At 40.0% G+C, this 19,702-nt stretch overlaps 1 protein-coding gene across 12 annotated transcripts in view; it reads right to left on the bottom strand.

Annotated features, from left to right (window-relative positions):
• GCNT1 (glucosaminyl (N-acetyl) transferase 1) overlaps positions 3,709–19,702 on the bottom strand; it is a 113,548-nt gene continuing 97,554 nt past the window's right edge. For 10 of the 12 annotated variants that reach the window (NM_001407181.1, NM_001407182.1, NM_001407183.1 and 7 more), the window contains 2 exons: positions 10,064–10,209; positions 3,709–8,886 (listed from right to left, as the gene is read on the bottom strand). In NM_001407181.1, the coding sequence (NP_001394110.1) occupies positions 7,457–8,743 (1,287 nt within the window). In that variant the 5' untranslated portion in view covers positions 8,744–8,886; positions 10,064–10,209 and the 3' untranslated portion in view covers positions 3,709–7,456. Of the gene's footprint in view, positions 8,887–10,063; positions 10,493–14,174; positions 14,394–19,702 lie in introns of those variants that run through there. The other 2 variants (XM_047423229.1, NM_001097636.2) reach the window with 2 other exon arrangements.

The raw sequence follows: 19,702 nt of genomic DNA, 5'->3' as shown, positions 1-19,702 counted from the left end.
ATTAGCGCAGTGGGCTTTGAGGAACATACTTAAAGGGGCATTCTCCTTTGAGTGGAGGGGCACGAAAAGCTTTCCTGAAGAGAAAACACATCTTCTTTGCATCAAGTCAATTAAGGGAATTCTAACTGCGCCAGGAAGCGTTTACTAATGAGTCTAATGGCAAAGGAAATAAATTATAAATACCCAATAATGTTTAAGCCAGTGATAGTGGTATCCGTGTTTTGCAGAAATTAAAACAAAACAAAACAAAAAACACCGGTTTCTATATCTTAAAGGTCAATAAACCTTCATATGAAATGCACAAAATTATCTAGTTAAACAAGATCCTCCTCCTGCACCAATACTGCTCATCCAAGTTACTCCCACAGTCATATGTTCGGATGGAGGCTACTGGAGAGTATGAATCTTCTGGAGTCCTCCTGCTGAAGGGGAACATATGTTTCCCACTGGCATGCAGCTCAAGGAAACAGGCCACCCTCACCTAACAAGCAATTAAATCAACATGTATTGGATATCAGAAAATGAAATCCCATAGATACGTTCCAAGGAGCTAGAGGCAAAACTGCTGCCAATCTAATCATCCTCAGCTCTTGTAGTCAGATGGAGAGTGCCAGTGGCCTATAGGATTGGTTATTCAGGCTACTGCTGCAAAAGGTTCTCTTCACTGTGGGTATACAATGGGGCTATCTTACAAGGTTAATCAGAGTATAGGACCTTGACACGGCTAAGCACTAATGGTTACATCTAAAACATGCCTGTCAGTAGGTGAGAGGAGAGAAATCATGGCTCCTTCCTCCCCTAAATAAAGGCTGGGGCTGGGGAGCATAAGACTCCCTAAGGCAAACCATATGTGGAAAAAGCTCCAAATACATATTTGGCAACAATTTTATGGAGCTGGAAGGAGTCATTCTCAAAATATGAAGATGTGACTTCAGGAAATTCTGAATGCTCCTTTCTGTTCAATAGTTTTCATAAATGAGATCACATTATATGTAGTCTTATTTCTCAATATGGTCTCTCAAGTATCAAGGATATTTTAAAAAACCAAACACCAAAACTGGTAATTTGATACAGAAATTTTCTTTTAATTTGAATCATCTTTATTGAATTATAATTTTTCATATTAGCCATTTCCATTTCTTATTGTACTTCTATGAATTGTTACATCCTTTGTTCATTTTTCTCTTGGAGTCTTCATGTTTAAAAACTATGGGCCGGGCGCGGTGGCTCACGCCTGTAATCCCAGCACTTTGGGAGGCCGAGGCGGGTGGATCATGAGGTCAGGAGATCGAGACCATCCTGGCTAACAAGGTGAAACCCCGTCTCTACTAAAAATACAAAAAATTAGCCGGGCGCGGTGGCGGGCGCCTGTAGTCCCAGCTACTCGGGAGGCTGAGGCAGGAGAATGGCGTGAACCCGGGAGGCGGAGCTTGCAGTGAGCCGAGATTGCGCCACTGCAGTCCGCAGTCCGGCCTGGGCGACAGAGCGAGACTCCGTCTCAAAAAAAAAAAAAAAAAAAACAACTATGTTAGTATGAGGGAGTTGTGGGGAGTGACTATAAAGGGTACAAGGTTTCTTCTTGGGGTGATGAAGAGGTTCTAAAATTGATTATGGGCCAGGCGTGGTGGCTCATGCTTGTAATCCCAGCACTTTGGGAGGCTGAGGTGGGAGAATCGCTTGAGCTCAGGAGTTTGAGACCAGCCTGGGCTACATAGTGAGAACCTGTCTCCATATTTAAAATACAAATAAAAATAAAATGGATTGTGGTAATGGTTATAATAAAAACCACTTAGATATACACTTTAAATGGGTAAACTGTATAAGTGAATTATCTCAATATAACTGGTTTTAAATATTAGCATAAATCATTTCCATATTAAGGTATTAAGCCTCCCTCTTCCAAAATCTGTAGGCAAATGTTCTAATCTCATTTGCCTTTTACTTTCTCATATTCAGAAGATATATATTTTTAAATATATAATCTGCTCCTTAATGAATCTTATTGCTTTTATTTGGAAAATTCAGTCACCCATCCAAAGATAGTCACTAGTATGTTCTTCTAGCTTATTTTCATATTTTTCATCTGGATTTTGGTGTACATTATAAAGCCATAATCTAGTATTCTCCAAAAGTTTACCTTCCTTATGTTCCTAGGATTTTTGGAACATTTTATTTATACTCACATCTATTTCGGGGCTACTACTGCCTTGGTCTAAGGGTTCAAATGTAAACTATTAGTACATTTTCAATATTTTTTAGCTGTGAAATATGGTTTTATATCTAGTATCTTAAGACTTCATGACTTTCCTTTCAAAATATTCCTATTCTTGCACATCTTTCAGATGAAATTTAGGATACTCTCAAGCCATTGAGAACATTAATAGACTTGCATTCAGTTAATTCACAAATAGAAGAAATGTTTAAAATATTTCATTTTAGGGCTGGGAACAGTGGCTCACGCCTGTAATCCCAGCACTTTGGGAGGCCAAGGCGGGCGGATCACCTGAGGTCGGGAGGTTGAGACCAGCCTGACCAACATGGAGAAACCCCGTTTCTACTAAAAATACAAAATTAGCCAGGCATGGTGGCACATGTCTGTAATCCCAGCTACTCCGGAGGCTGAGGCAGGAGAATTGCTTGAACCCAGGAGGCGGAAGTTGTGGTGAGCCGAGATCATGCCATTGCACTTCAGCCCGGGCAACAAGAGTGAAACTCTGTCTCAAAAAAACAAAAAACAAAAAACAAACAAAAAAATCATTTTATCAGCTAGGAGCAGTGTATTTTTCCATCTATACAGGTCTTCTGTTATCTTTGTATAGTTTCTGCACACATGCTCAGTTTGTCTATAAATGTGACAAAGCTTGTTGCCACAACAAATGGTGATATACTACAATTATATCTTAAAGCTACCTTTGTCTATTAACTTTTGGATATCTGGAGGTTTTTGCTAATTTCATATTAATTCTAAGATGAGATTCCCAGGCTTTCTACTTGGACCATTATATCATCTGCAATAATAACAATAGTTTTTTCTTTCCCAATAGTTGTAATTCATTTCTAGTTTGGGTCCTACTGCATTAAAAAAAATTGTATCAATATTCTGATGACAAGCCCTGAAAACATTAAAGCATGTATTAAAAACAATATCTTTCACAAGCAGGCTTATAAAGGATATGTAAAGCTCTCAAGCTTTAGAGAAAAATCTGAAATTCATCAATTTTGCCACTTTCTAGAATGTTTCATCTAATTTAGGGCTAAAGAACACCTCGAAGTGTTTAATAGATCCGGTGTGACAATATCTGGAGAAGGCACTCAATATTGGGGGCATGGGGTCCCTTTTCCCTCAGCTGTGCCCATCACATTCAAACCAACAGCAGGTGATAGCTCCTATTAACCTATGCTACTAACTGGAAAACTGTTCTCTTTCTTCAGTAGACACAGTTGAAGTGTCTAATGTCCTAGAATGCAATACTGGCCATTCAATTGCATACTTCTAAAGCCTCCCAGTAATCTTTTTGCATACTCTGTGTTAGTTTGTTTTTTGAGATACTCTCTTCCCCTCTGACATTTGTGCCTTGAGAATGAATCTTATTTTTAATCACTACTTGCACACACTCATTTGTTACAAAGTACATCAACTACCAAATTTAACGTTTGAGTGCTGGTTGCTAACAGAAAAAGGAATAAAAAATTTCTGCAGACAAGGCCTTGGTTTCTGAATGGATGATTTTAATGGTGATATGAACTGATTCTAACTGCATTCTGTCGCACCCTCATTCAAAAGAGTAAAACTTACAGTGACCATGTTTATCATGAAATAGTATTGCATTTATTTTAAACTGATGGTCCCCAACTTACTTAAAAATCGTAGAGGCTTAACGGTTTTTCAGCTTTACAACAGTGCACAAGTGATATGCATTCAGTAGAAATTATACTTTGAGTACCCATACAATCATTGTTTTTCACTTTCACAACAGTATTCAGTAAATAACATGAGCTATTCAACACTTCATTATAAAATAGGCTTTGTGTTAAATGGTTTTGCCCAACTGCAGGCTAAATGTTCTGAGAACATTTAAGGTAGGCTTGGCTAAGTTATGATTTCAGGTAAGAGATATTAAATGCATTTTCAATGTGATATTTTCAAATTATAATGGGTTTACTGGGACCTACCCACATCATAAGTTGAGGAGCGTCTGTATTTAATATGAGAAATTATTTTTATTTTTCTGAACAACTGAAAAGGTCCAATTCAATCGACCCTACAGAGAAAACGAACTGAAACATGGCCTCTTCCTACCCAAATCACTACAAGAGAAAATCTACTTATGTTATTTAAGTGAACTGTACTTAATAAATGACATAAATATATGTTTAGAAACAACAACACTCCATTTTCAAGGCTGAGTGGCTGTTTACTGAGATCTGGGAAGAGCCTCAGTAACTGCCTGTAAAATAAAGAACAATTTTTATTAACTCTTTTCCTTAGTAAGAAAGATGTAAATCTTGATGCAATACTCATTAACTAGAATCCTTCCATCACAAAATTTTTGTTCACATATGTTTAAGGACTTTTTGTTTGTTTGTTTGGAGATACGAGTTTCACTCTGTCACCCAGGCTGGTGTGGTGGTGGCATCTCAGCTCACTGCAACCTCCGCCTCCTGGGCTCAAGAGATTCTCCTGCCTCAGCCTCCCAGGTAACTGGGATTACAGGTGCAAGCCTGGCTAATTTTTTTTTTCTATTTTCAGTAGAGATGGGGTTTCGTCATGTTGGCTAGGCTGGTCTTGAAATCCTGAAGATTACAGGTGTGAGCCACTGTGCCTGGCCATGTTTGACTTCTAATTTGTGAATGTGATTTCTCAGATTTCTCTATAAAACACCTTCAATGACAGTACAAAAATTAGTGTTTAATAATTACTATAAAGTAATTTAAATAATTTCTATATTTCTCACCAATCACTTGGGTTTTGCTTCTCCTGCATGTATCATAGGTTTCCTTTTCAAACCATCGTTTTGATTCTTTAAATTTCTTGTCACAGCATCATAAATTTCATTTGCTGTAAATTGTCCTTAAAAGTCTAAAAGATACTTTGAGCCCCAATGAATGGATCGTATATAAATTCTGCCGCAGGCATTAGGGATAGTGTTTGAACACTTTTTAACAAGTTCCATTTTAGAAAGATGAGATATCACAGCTACATAGAAGATGGTAAGTTTACAGTTATAATGTGGCGCTTGGGGAAATAGACTCTAAAATCCTATGTTTACATTTATGATGAAGAAAAAAATCCCTCAAAACCTGCCAATTTAAATATAAATCAGATGCAGTCACACATAATAAATGTGCTAAGATAAATAACTTTGTATATTTGTAATTTTTAAAAATTTTAATTTCCAATTTTGCCAAGTTCAGAAATACATACAACTTAAAGCAAATAGGGTACAATGTTAACACCAGGTGAGGGTTACATGGTGTTCACTCTACTGTTTTACTTTTGCTGTAGATTTGCAATTTTTCAAAATAAAAAATGAAAAAATGTTTATAAGACAAAGTCTATGTCACTGAGTATCACTAGTTTTAGAGTTAAAAGGTGCCCTGTCTTATAGGTAAAAACTTTTCTGCTAAGAGAAGCATGGGAGAAATATTTGACATGCATTAAAGGACAAAACTGGTTTAGAAGCCAATAAAGAGAGAACACACTGCATGTACCACCCTCATCATCTCGAGTTTTCAAAACAAGCATGTTCCTCTTGCTCCAACAGACTCCCATGCTAATCATGCAAAAACACAGCAATCCACCAACTTCCACATTTACAAATGATGATAAAAGTTTAAAAACATATCTCTCAATAAGATGAAAATGTTTTCTGACTTTGACAAATAAAGTTTTCTCAGTTGAATGCCTTAAAACTGTCTAATACTCTGAATTTCTCATGTACTATTTAATTTGGCTAGATTTTAAAAATACAGCACATGATTTTAATTCTTGTTTAAAGTCTAATGCTAAATGACAAAGCCTCACAGTTCCTGGTAGCTTGTTTGCTGAACAGTATCAACATGGCAAAAGTACGAGAATTTCTTTTTAAGATTTGAATGTACTTTGAGATGTGTGACAGCATTATAGCAACCCCAAATTATCTGTCTTATGGTGAAGATGGAGAGAGTAAAAATCGTATGCTGTGAATGATACCAAAAACAAAAAAAAAAATCTGTCCCAAACCCAAAGTTCCCTCCCCAGGCCTTCCAACAGGCCATGTGGAATGACTGCACACTTCTTTCCTCCTCGTGGAAGGTTGAGAAAGGAGGAAACTTACCACCCAGGGGGCAGGTAACGGGAAGACCCAAGAACAGGGCCAAGTCCTTTCAAATGAATATACAGGTGACATTAGGATAAAACAATCCTGGGAGGTTGGACACAAGTGGATTCAATAAGCGACAGCCTTAATTTTGGGGATGGTGTCAATGCTGGTTTTTAAACTCATCATGGGCATCGGAAATTGTTTAAATACATTCCTTTTCTCCCCCCTCCCACTCCCCAGCCCCTCAAACCTGTATCATCCTGTCTTAGTTTTCTGCACTAATTACTGGCAGTCAGATAGCAGAGACAATAATTTAGGGTCCAGTGAAAGTAAATTTTTACACAGCTTGATAGCAGTCTGGGAAGACTGAGGAAAGGAAGATAGAGGCAAATCTCTAGAAAAATTGAGTGTTTCTCTTGGTAGAAGCTATAATTTTTTTAAAAAAGATGTCTTAACCTTGCTAATAACATAAGATGATTTGTAGAAATTAACTAAACTAGAAATTGTCATTTTTTGGTTGTTGAAAATGTGTGCGTTGTTTCAAGCAAAAATAACACAAAAACAATGTTAAATCAAGCCCATTTTAAGCTCCCTGAGATGACATACGGAGACACACTACACAGTACAGTATTAGAGCAGAATATAAATTATTTACAAAAATCATTTATAGTACAATCAAATTTCTATTTCAACAAATATAATATCAGATTAATTGTATCTTTGATTATTTGTTGCTGTAAGTTTATTCATACCAGAAAAATGGTCACATTTAAAATTCTCAAAATAGTTTTGGCACAGGTCACATCTTCTCATTTTGCTAAGTCCCTGAGCACTTTGAACAGGCTGACTTTATGCATCGGCCTCTTCCCCAGCCACCCTGGTCCCCTCTTTCCACAATGCCTTGCTACCTGCTCTGGCCTCAAGGCTACCTTTACTCCTCCCACTATTAACTCTAGATGAACATTTAATGCTATCACCTTTCTAGCTAACTGTGCTCTGCAGAAACCATGCAGCTTCTCTGACAAGAAGATCTACTAGAGTCCCTGCCCCAAAGAGGACTTCATACCATCTTCCCGATGCTGACAAGGAAGGGGAAACAGATAAGGGTACGTTTTGTGTATCCTTCTTCTTGTTCATAAAATTGCCCGTAATGGTCAGTGTTTTAATGTCTCCAAAGCTTTGTGTCTCAAATGCTCATCCAAACACTGGATGGCAAAGAGGTCAACATCCACGTCAAACTTATTGGCAAACAAGTGGTGTTTGCGCAGCATCCAGTTCAAGTCACCAGCTCCGAAAATGCACACTGAGCGCACATGGACTCCATCGCAGGGCGGGTAGGGAGCACCCTTGGAAACATCACCCTCAAAGTACTGCCACTTGACAAACCTGGCAACTGCTTGCATGTCAGACAGATCATACTTATGGCTGGCAGGGAGTGAGCCCGGGACTTCAGGAATCCTTTGGATGGTGGCCCAGAGATACTCATCAGGGCTGTATGTGTCTTGTGCCCACTCCATCAACTTTTGGATTTTTTCATTCTGTAGTACATACCCCACATACTCCCTACTGACCACGAAGTAGGCACTGCCAGAAAAGAGAGGTGTTTCGAGTGGAGGAAGCATTTTGACAGTCCCTGTGTTTGTCAGCTTTCCATTAACGACCTCATACCGCTTCTTCCACCTTTCTTCTTTATGGGATGGCATCCTCTCCGTTTCCAGGTTGTTTTCTCCCATTAACAACTTGAGCTTCCTGACAATTTCTAGGTTGGTTTTAATGGGAAAATCCATACCACAAAGATTTATCAAGTACTTCCAGTTTGCACTCATTGCATAGAGATCCTTCATGCAGTTGAGGTCAGCCTGAACCCGGCTCCACGATGCATAAACCACACTCTCCAATCGGCTGGCCACAAAGACATTACTAAAACAGGAAGCGATGCCCATCACTGCAGCTAAATAGGAATCCTCGGATTTTGTGTCCACATGAATGCAATAGAAATTCTGAGGCATATAGATGGCCCTCAGCAGCCTGTCAAGCATTTCAATCTTGTGATGAACCACTATAGAATATGCTATTGGAAACTCCGCCTCTTCTTTACTAAGGGGTTCTACAATATATTTGCGTCTCTTGATGAAAGAAGAACAGTCACTGGTCATGTTTATATAGTCGTCAGGTGTCCACCGAGGGCGCTTTTTAAATTTCACTGTTAGGATCTCAAGCTTTACCTTTTGGATTTCATTTACATCACCCTGTAAAACTTTGGTGCAATTAATATCACTACTAGGATTCTCCCCAGCAAGCTCCAAGTGTCTGACACTTACAAATTCAGGCTTTTGATGAATCCTTAAAACGGAGAAGGTGATTAGGGATAAAACAAGAACCATAAAGTAGTATTTGGTGGGATAAGAAAAAAGTCTCCTTCGCAGCAACGTCCTCAGCATTTCAAACAATAATCAGGGATTTCCTTTGTGAAGGGCAGTCTTCTATGCTCCAAGCACCAATGATTTTCCCTCCGTCGTGGCCTTGAAGGTTGTCAGTTTGCATTTATCAGAGCTGCAACGGCATCTTGAAATGAAGAGCAGCACTGAAATAAAAGAAGCAATTATAAATATAAATAAATATATATATATATATATATATATACAGAGAGAGAGAGAGAGAGAGAGTTTTTCACAATAAATCTTCTCAGGCTCAAAAAACTGTCCTCTTTGCTATGAGGTTAGGTTTAAAACAAAAACAAAGTGGCTGAATCAGAGGATAAATTGTAGTAGTACAGGAAGCCCACAGTCTCTAGTATTTATACCACAGATTGAAAAAGAAAACAAAAGAAAAAACAAACCCCAAATCCCAGTACATGGATGCACTAGAATATCTAACAACAAGCATTTTACCTCTTTGGTATGTTGAGGTGCAAAACCATAGTTGGACGCCTAGGCAATAATGATTGAACAGTCTATAGTTGATGAGTTTCTGACACTGTGCCAGAATTACCACCCCTTGTTCTTGAAATCGTTAGTAATTTAAGTTCCTCCTGACATGTTTTAATGTCCATTAGCTGGTGTCAGCAGCCCTAAAAGAGATCAGATCCATTCTGCTTTTTGCTGATTTAGGATTTGGGGCATACTTAGGGAGAAGTTTGGAAATGGTTGTGACTTCTAAGAATCTTTGAAGGAAGGGCAAGTCAACAGAATTTTCAAATTGGATTGAAAAGGCTCAGATGAAACAAAGCCCCGTTTGGGACTGTGTTGGGTTAGTCCCACAATGAGTTTAGTTCCATGCCAGAAACTACAAGAAAACAAAGTATTCATAATCCAAAAGAGAGATACAGCTTGCGTTTTCTGCATTAGTTATAACAGACTGTAATAACTAAGTCTTGCAGAAAACAATAGTGTATACAAATTGTAATTTATGACAGACCTTCATCTATATTCAAATTCCAGGAACACAACCCACTTTTACTATATGAAATGCTTACAAACATTAAATAGCTTTGTTTTCAAAAATCAATTTTATAACTTGGCAATTGGTTCTACAGCTGATAAGCGCTGCTGTTCTAAAAAAAGAAAGTCAAGTACTACCAATTTGACCGTTATAAATCTGTTCATAACAAGATTTCTAGAGATTTGACACGAGTTTTTAATGCCAGAAACTTAACTATTTCATTAGGAAATGAGTTGTGAATAGTAATAATACAAATAAAAATGAATAACTGACCATCATTAATATAAAATAATGTTAAGAAAAGTATTTAGACTTTTTACCATTTAAAAGTAAGGAAAGTCTGAATCACTTAGTGCTGATTCCAGGTGACATCCTGCCCCATTCTGAGCACTTCACATGCTGTCAGGTGTATTACATGTCCGGGCATCCAGCGATAATGATGTGCTGCACGAGTCTTTAAAGAAATCTGTGAAATTAAAAAACAATGTGACAAGGGATATATGGACACATAGTATTCACACACTCAGAAAATATGTTGGTGAACTAATCCTACATATTTGCTTTTTTTTCTCAAAATTATGGGTGGTTAACTTTTCTCTTTTAAAATTTCCTTCTCTCTAGTCTTACTTATTTTTCTAATTCTATGTTTGTGGATTGCTAAAGATTTGAAAACACCCTGAAATTTAGGTTAAGTTCTTTGAAAGAAAACTCTAGCAGCATTTCCCTTAATGTATACCAAGGAACAGTTTAACAGTCCAGTATGATTAGAAAATCCAACATATCCTTTCCCCCACTGTGAAGATTCCCAATGCTCACTGGCAAATTAATGACAATCCTGAAGCTGAATTTGTTGCTCATCTCATTTTCTTCTAACAATCTTGATCACCACCCCACTCCACACCTCTATCAGAAAGCGACCACGGGGAGCTTCGGTAACAAAACATAAGAATTTCAACCACTAAAATATCAAAACACTACAAAAAGTATGCCTTTAAGTAATTCCTGCCCCTTACTGGTTCAAGGCACATAAGGAAATCTCTATGGAATCATTAGCAGACCACTAACTAACTGAGAGAAACTTGAGTGGGTCTCAAATAACAAAGAATATAAACTTTAGACAACTGGTCCAGGAAAGCCACTAAACAAATAACAAAAACAACAAACCCTCCTCAGGGTAGGGGTAGAGATCTGATTTCCATGGTTGACACATTATAAACTATCCAGTTTCAACAAAAAAAAAATTACAAGGCATGCAAAGAAACACAAAAGTCTGGTCCACATACAGGGGGGTGGAACAAAAAAAAGCAGTCAATAAAAATGTCCCCAAGGAAGCCCAGGCATTGGATTTAATAAATACTTGAAATCAGCTCTTATAAATATGTTCAAAGAACTAAATAACTGAAAGAAAGCACGAGTATGGTATCTAACCAAATTGAGAAAATTTCAATAAAGAAATAGAATGTACAACACAAAGAATGAACCCTTAATAATAATTTATATAACAAGTTTGGGGAGGTAGAAAAATAGTTGAAAAAAATAATGTATCAATAATTAATAATAATGTATAAATACTGGCTTAATTGTAAAAAATGTACCACACTAATGTAAGATATTAATAACAGCAGAAACAGTGAGGGGGTAAATGGAAACTCTCTGTACTTTCTGTGTAATTTGTCTGTAAACAGAAAACTGCTCTAAAAATAGTCTATTAATATTGAAACAAAAATTAATTTGCACATCCAAGAAGTTCAATGAGCGCCAAAGAGGATAAACTCAGATATCCTTACCTAGACATTTCATAATCAAACTGTTGAAAGACAAGGACAAAGGATTTTGAAAATGTTAAAGAAAAGTGATTATACAACAAATCCTGAAAATGATTAACAACTTCAAATAAACAACAATGGAGACCAAAAGGCAGTGAGTGACATATTCAACGCGCAGAAAGTTTGTTGGCTAGGTGTGGTGGCTCATGCCTGTAATCCCAGCACTTTGGGAAGCTGAGGTGGGCGGATCACTTGAGGTCAGGAGTTTGAGATCAGCCTGGCCAACACTGTGAAACCCCATCTCTACTAAAAATACAAAAATTAGCCGGGCGTAGTGGTGCATGCCTGTAATCCCAGCTAATTGAGAGGCAGAGGCAGGAGAATCGCTTGAACTTGGGTGGTGGAAACTGCAGTGAGCCAAGATCATGCCACTGCACTTCAGCCTGGGCAATAGAGCAAGACTCCATCTCAAAAAAAAGGATTGTTAACCAAAAATTCTATAATGAGCAAAATCATTCAAAAACAATGAGAAACTAGGATACTCCCAGATAAATTAAAAAAAAAATTATCACTAGCAGCCTTACCCTACAAGAAATACTAAATGAAGATATTCAGGCAGAAATGAAAAGATTCTAGACAGCAACTCAAATCCACATGAAAAAATAGAAAGCAGCAGTAAAGGTATATATATACAGACAAATTTATAGTATGAATGTAATTTTCTTTGTAACTCTCTTCCCATCTGATTTAAAAGACAGCTACATTAATTTATGATGATAAAACTGTGTTGACAGGCTGACAGTGTGTGTGTATACACTTTTTTTCTTTTTTTTTTTTTTTTTGAGCTGGAATTTTGCTCTTGTTGCCCACGCTGGAGTGCAGTGCTGCGATCTTGGTTCACTGCAACCTCTGGCTCCCGGGTTCAAGCAATTCTCCTGCTTCAGCCTCCCAAGTAGCTGGGATTACAGGCACCCGCCCCCACACCTGGCTAATTTCTATATTTTTAGTAGAGACGGGGTTTCATGATGTTGGCCTGGTTGGTCTGGAACTCCTGACCTCAGGTGATCTGCCTGCCTTGGCCTCCTAAAGTGCTGGGATTACAGGGGTGAGCCACTGCACCCAGCCCTAGTGTATTTTTTATCTCATTGAGTGGACAAATTGGAACCATCATAAATTGCTGGTAGAAATGTAAATGCTTGGTGAAGCTGCTTTAGAATGTTTGGTGGGTCCACAGAAAATTAAAACTAGAGTTACCATATGACCTAGCTATTCCACTATTAGGTATATACCCAAGAAAAATGAAAACATATATTCACGCAAAAACTTGTATACAAATGTTCATAATGGCATTACTAATAGCTAAAATAGTGGAAGCAAGCCAAATGACCGTGAACTGAAGAATGGATAAACAAAATATGGTATATCCATAAAATGGGATATTATACGGGTATAATAAGATATGAAGGTCTCACACAAGTTCCATACAATGTAGATAAATAATCTAGAAAACATTAGGCTAAGAAATAGTCATTTATAATTCTGTTTATATTAAATGTCCAGAAAAAGCAAATCCATATAGACAGAAAGTAGATGAGTGTCTGCCAGGGGCTGGGGACATGGGGGAATGGCAATGAATGCTGGTAGGTACAAAGGTTTCCTTTGAAAGTTCTCTAGGTAGATAGTAGAGATTGATGTAGAACTTTGTGAACATATTGTTTACTTTAAAAGGGTAAACATTATGGTATGTGAATATTCAATAAAGCTATTATTAGAATAGTAACAATAAAGTTCACCAAAGTAAACAGATTTTAAGTTACAAATTGTGACACCGCTGAGTCTTGGGTTTTTTTTTGTTTTAAACAGGAGAAGTAGAATTATCTTAAACAGGATTTTATGGAATGTGGGTACATGAAAGGGTCACCTCGAAATCCAAATAGAAAATACAAAGTTCAAAACCAAACACTTGGATCTCACCTCAAAAAAGGCATAGGTCTTTACCACTGTCGTCTACATCCTACATGGCCCACATGCTTTGAAAAACGCTTTTTACAACGTAAAATCACTAGTTTTGGGTTTTAACAAGATGGGTAAGTGTCTATAAAGAAGCTAAATATGTGAGAAAGCATTACTTTGTCAAAAATGCTTTTGATTTTGTCTATTTATCATCAGGGTGAATACAGAAGTCAAATCATTCGAAGGAATTGTAATTAACCAACCTAATTTCAAGACATACAACGTTTTCTTAAGTAAAACTCGGCTAAGAATCAGAAGGGTGAAAGGAAAATGAGATTTCATAGCCAAAGAGATTTCCAAGAAGAAAAGAAGTTTAAAGGGAAGTAAAAATGCGCACATGCTATACTATTTTAATGCAACTTTACCAAAAATTACACACCCACACAAGGAATAAATACCAAAATAATTAACAAAAATGTGGCCATGGGTAGTTAATACTGCTCTGCCCAATGTTCCTTCACCTTTATATTTCACTCAGGAAGCATACTCACTGAAGAATATCTGGTGGGATTTGCCAGTGAGGACAACTACAGAAGAGTAAGAAACATTCTAAATGACAAAAGCTCATGAATTCTGGGAAAGCAAGAAAAACTCAAGTCCCAAACCATACTAAGCCTCACTCGCCCAAGGCCTGCCTAATCCAACAACTGACCTGGGGCATGTCCTGAAGAAGGTCCCTCAGTGGACACTGGTCCTTTCCTGGAAGAGGAGACTTCCTTGAGGACACTACCCTATATAATTTTAAGTAGATCGCATAACCTAAGAAGAAATGAGAAATGAAATAATTCCACCGTGAGTTGGAACAGAGGAAAGCCAGTACCTGAAAGTAATGGTTCTTGGTACTTGACTTTTAAGACCAAGAAATACAAAAATACTAAATTCTAAGAATACTGAAAATAAATACTTATCTTTTATATAGTCAATAAGAAGGAAAGCTAGTCAAGGAAGGGAAAAAGAAGATAGGTATCAGGTGCCCCTAAGGTGACGATATGGTCACTAAAAGTGTTCCAACATAAAGAGAGTCAGCACCACCAGATAGACAGGGTGCCGCTGAGTGCTTAATGGAGTGGGAAGATGGACAAAATGACCTCAGGGAGAGGGAGACAGGAGGCAGAAATCAAACTGGAAAAGCAGATGGACGAGAGGAAACTGAAAAAGCATATGCACAAATCCCAGGCTGACAGGCGGGAAAGAACAGACCAGCTCTATTTACACTGCAGGATCTTCAAAGGGTGCAGGAACTGGTGCTGGTTGCACGGATCCCTCTGAAGGGGGGATGCGGAGAATGATGGAGGAGTGGTGTTGCTTTGTTTTTTGTTTTGTTCAAAGTATCCACTAGTAGCTCTTTACAAAGCAGCTGGGTTTCTACCTCAAACTTGGCAAAGACCCATCCAAGATGTAGTCTCTGCAGAGGCTCTCCCTTCCAGGGCACACCAGGCCTAATGGAAAGCAGTTCCCATCCAGAAAACAGTAGGACCCAGGCACAGTGAATAGCCTTCTCCATTTCCAGCTTGCTTATCCATATTAGTTCCCAGAACTTTGATTGTCAGCCCAGGGCAGGAGTTTTTTTTACTGGGGAATCCAAGCATGCCAAGAGAAATAAGGCTTAAATATCTTGCTTAAACTGGGAGACCCCCAAACAGTCAAATGAAACAGACTGTTCAGGGAGAGGAAAACTACCACTAACATTCTCAGGATATAGAAAACTACCACTAACATCCTCAGGATATAAAGTTAAAAATATGTTAAAAAAATATTAATGAGGCACAATATATTTTCTGAAGACAGCCAGGCCAATATTTTCACCCAACATTTTCTTCTGCTATATGACCTTGCCACTCCCCAACCAAGAAGTAGTCAAATTCCCTCCCTCTTGAATTTGAGTGGCCTTATTGAGAGGTGAAGCCAGCTGGCCTTCCTGGGTCGAGGATTGTAAATGCACCAATCAGTGCTCTGTGTCTAGCTAGATGATCGTAAATGTACCAATCAGCATTCTGTAAAAATGGACCAATCAGCACTGTGTAAAATGGACCAATCAGCATTCTGTAAAATGGACCAATCAGCAGGACATAGGCGGGAGCAAATAAGGGAATAAAAGCTGGCCACCCAAGCCAGCAGCGGCAACCTGCTCTGGTCCCCTTCCATGCTGTGGAAGCTCTGTTCTTTTGCTCTTCACAATAAATCTTGCTGTTGCTCACTCTTTGGGTCCCCACCACCTTTAAGAGGTGTAACACTCACCGCAAAGGTCTGCGGCTTCACTCATGAAGTCAGCGAGACCATGAACTCAATGGAAAGAAGAGACTCCAGACACATCTGAAGGAACAAACTCTGGACACACCATCTTTAAGAGCTGTAACATTCACTGCAAAGGTCCGCGGCTTTATTCTTGGTCAGCGAGACCAAGAATCCACCAGAAGGAACCAATGCTGGACACATCTTGGTGACCTTGGACCATCACCAAGCAGTGAGTACCATCGGACCCCTTTCGCTTGCTATTCTGTCCTATTTTTCCTTAGAATTCGGTGGCTAAATACTGGGCACCTATCGGCCAGTTAAAAGCGACTAGTGCGGCTGCCGGACTAAAGATACGGGTGTCAGGTTTTCTGGGAAATGGCTACCTAACAACCCCCAACTCTTTGGAGTTGGGAGTGTTGGTTTGCCTGAAAACAGCTTCCGCTTTTCCTGTACTTCCAGGCTGAGCCCAGGGTTGACAGAGAGGAAAGCCATTCAGCTCCGGGGTCCTGACAGAAAGTTGGCTGACCCTGTAGCCAAGAGCGGAACTCTCCTCCAAGTCATATCACCCAAGTGAGACTCGCCCATCTATCCTATCTATCCTGACCCTTGCCTCCTGGCTCCTAAAGCCTGTCAGACAAACTTCTTGCTCTCTTCTCCGAGGCTAGTCCCTATTATAAAAACCACTCCCTGTCTCTGGTGCTTTTCTAGTTTCTCCTATAAGAATGATTTCTAGTATAAACTTCAGGACTCTGTTCCCTTCTTTAGGCACCTGGGCTCACCAATCAGAAAGAAATAATTTTTGCCAAAATTATTTCTCAGACTAGCAGGCCTAACAAAAGCTACTCCTGAAGCTAGGATATGGGGAGCCTCAGACATGATATCCTTCCTATTCATATGATGAGAAGTGAGAACAAAATGTGTCACTCTTCCAACCCTGGAGATCCCTTCCCTCCCTCAGGGTATGGCCCTCCACTTCATTTTGGGGGCATAACATCTTTATGGGACAGGGGTAAGGTCCCAATACTAACAGGAGAATGCTTAGGACTCTAACAGGTTTTCAAGAATGTGTTGGTAAGGGTCACTAAATCCGATTTTTCTCAGTCCTCTTTGTGGCCCAGGAGAATACGCAAGGGTGCAGGTTTTCAAGAATGCGTCAGCAAGGGCCACTAAATCTGACCTTCCTCGGTCATCCTTGTGGTCTAGCAGGAAAACTAGTGTTTCTGCTGCTGTGTCGGTGAGTGCAACTATTCCAATCAGCAGGGTCCAGGGACCGTTATGGGTTCTTGGTGGGGGGCGGGGAACAAACCAAAACCGCGGGTGGTTTTTTCTTTCAGATGGGAAACACTCAGGCATCAACAGGCTCACCCTTGAAATGCATCCTAAGCCACTGGGACAATCTGACCTGCAAACCCTGAAAAAGAAGTGGCTTATTTTTTTCTGCACTATGGCCTGGCCCCAATATTCTCTCTCTGATGGGGAAAAATGTCCACCTGAGGGAAGTAGAAATTACAATACTATCCTGCAGCTTGACATTTTCTGTAAAAGGGAAGGCAAGTGGAGTGAAATACCTTATGTCCAAGCTTTCTTTTCATTGAAGGAGAATCCACAACTATGCAAAGCTTGCAATTTATATCCCACAGGATGACCTCTCAGCTTATCTCCATATCCTAGCCTCCCTATAGCTCTCCTTCCTATTAATGATGAGCCTCCTCTAATCTCCCCCGCCCAGAAGGAAACAAGCAAAGAAATCTCCAAAGGACCACAAAAACCCCCAGGCTATCAGTTATGTCCCCTTCAAGCTGTAGGGGGAGGGGAATTTGGCCCAACCCAGGTACATGTCCCCTTCTCCCTCTCTGACTTAAAGCAGATCAAGGCAGACCTGGGGAAGTTTTCAGATGATCCTGATAGGTATATAGATGTCCTGCAGGGTCTAGGGCAAACCTTTGATCTCACTTGGAGAGATGTCATGCTATTGTTAGATCAAACTCTGGGCCATTAAATGAAAGGAATGTGGCTTCAGCTGCAGCCCGAGAGTTTGGAGATACCTGGTATCTTAGTCAAGTAAATGATAGAATGACAGCTGACGAAAGGGACAAATTCCCTACCGGTCAGCAAGCCATCCCCTGTATGGATCCCACTGGGACCTCAACTCAGATCATGGGGACTGGAGTCGTAAACGTCTGCTGACCTGTGTTCTAGAAGGATGAAGGAGAATTAGGAAAAAGCCCATGAATTATTCAATGATGTCCACCATAACTCAGGGCAAGGAAGAGAATCCTTCTGCCTTCCTCAAGCGGCTACGGGAGGCCTTAAGAAAATATACTCCCCTGTCACCCGACTCCCTCGAGGGTCAATTGATCCTAAAAGATAAGTTTATTACCCAATCAGCTGCAGATGTCAGGAGAAAGCTCCAAAAGTGAGTCCTGGGCCCTGAACAAAATCTGGAGACATTATTAAACCTCGCAACCTCGGTATTCTATAATAGGGACCAAGAGGAACAGGCCTAAAAGGAAAAGCGGGATCAGAGAAAGGCCACAGCCTTAGTCATGGCTCTCAGACAAACAAACCTTGCTGGTTTAGAGAGGACAGAAAATGGAGCAGGCCAATCACCCAGTAGGGCTTGTTATCAGTGTGGTTTGCAGAAATACTTTAAAAAAGATTGTCCAACGAGAAACAAGCTGCCCCCTCATCTGTGTCCACTATGCCGCGGAAATCACTGGAAGGCACAAAGTTTCTCTGGGCCAGAAGCCGCCAACCAGATAATCCAACAAAAGGACTGAGGGTGCCCGGGGCAAGCACCAGCTCATGTCATCACCCTCACTGAGCCCCGGGTACATTTAACCACTGAGGGCCAGGAAATTGACTTCCTCCTGGACACTGGTGCGGCTTTCTCGTGTTAATCTCCTGTCCCGGACAGCTGTCCTCAAGGTCCCTTACCATCTGAGGAATCCTGGGATGGCCTGTAACCAGGTATTTCTCCCACCTCCTCAGTTGTAATTGGGAGACTTTGCTCTTTCCACATGCCTTTCTTGTTATGCCTGAAAGTCCCATACCTTTATTAGGGAGGGACATATTATCCATAGCTGGAGCTATTATCTACATGAATATGGGGAACAAGTTACCCATTTGTTGTCCGCTGCTTGAGGAGGGAATCAACCCTGAAGTCTGGGCATTGGAAGGAACAAACTCAAGCTCCAGCCTTAAGCCTTCCCACAGGACAAAACTTCTCTTTATACATCACAGACAGAGCAGGAATAGCTCTTAGCGTCCTTACTCAGACTCATGGGACAACCCCACAACCAGTGGCATACCTAAGTAAGGAAATTGATACAGTAGCAAAAGGCTGGCCTCACTGTTTACAGATAGTTGCGGCGGTGGCTGTCTTAGTGTCAGAGGCTATCAAAATAATACAAGGAAAGGATCTCACTGTCTGGACTACTCATGATGTAAATGGCATATTAGGTGCCAAAGGAAGTTCATGGCTATCAGACAACTGCCTACTTAGATACCAGGCGCTACTCCTTGAGGGACCGGTGCTTCAAATATGCACGTGTGCAGCCCTCAACCCTGCCACTTTTCTCCCAGAGGATGGGGAACCAGTTGAGCATGACTGCCAACAAATTATTGTCCAGACTTATGCTGCCCAAGAGGATCTCTTAGAAGTCCCCTTAGCTAATCCTGACCTTAACCTATATACCAATGGATGTTCATTTGTGGAGAATGGGATATGAAGGGCAGGTTATGCCACAGTTAGTGATGTAACAGTACTTGAAAGTAAGCCTCTTCCCCCAGGGACCAGCGCCCAGTTAGCAGAACCAGTGGCACTTACCCGAGCCTTAAAACTGGGAAAGGGAAAAACAACAAATTTGTATACAGATAGCAAGTATGCTTATCTAATCCTACATGCCCATGCTGCAATATGGAAAGAAAGGGAGTTCCTAACCT

This window comes from Homo sapiens, chromosome 9, assembly GCF_000001405.40.
Source record: "Homo sapiens chromosome 9, GRCh38.p14 Primary Assembly".
Taxonomy (NCBI): Eukaryota; Metazoa; Chordata; class Mammalia; order Primates; family Hominidae; genus Homo; species Homo sapiens.
The sequence above is the reverse complement of the archived record's forward strand: the minus strand, read 5'-3'. Positions and strand labels throughout refer to the sequence as shown.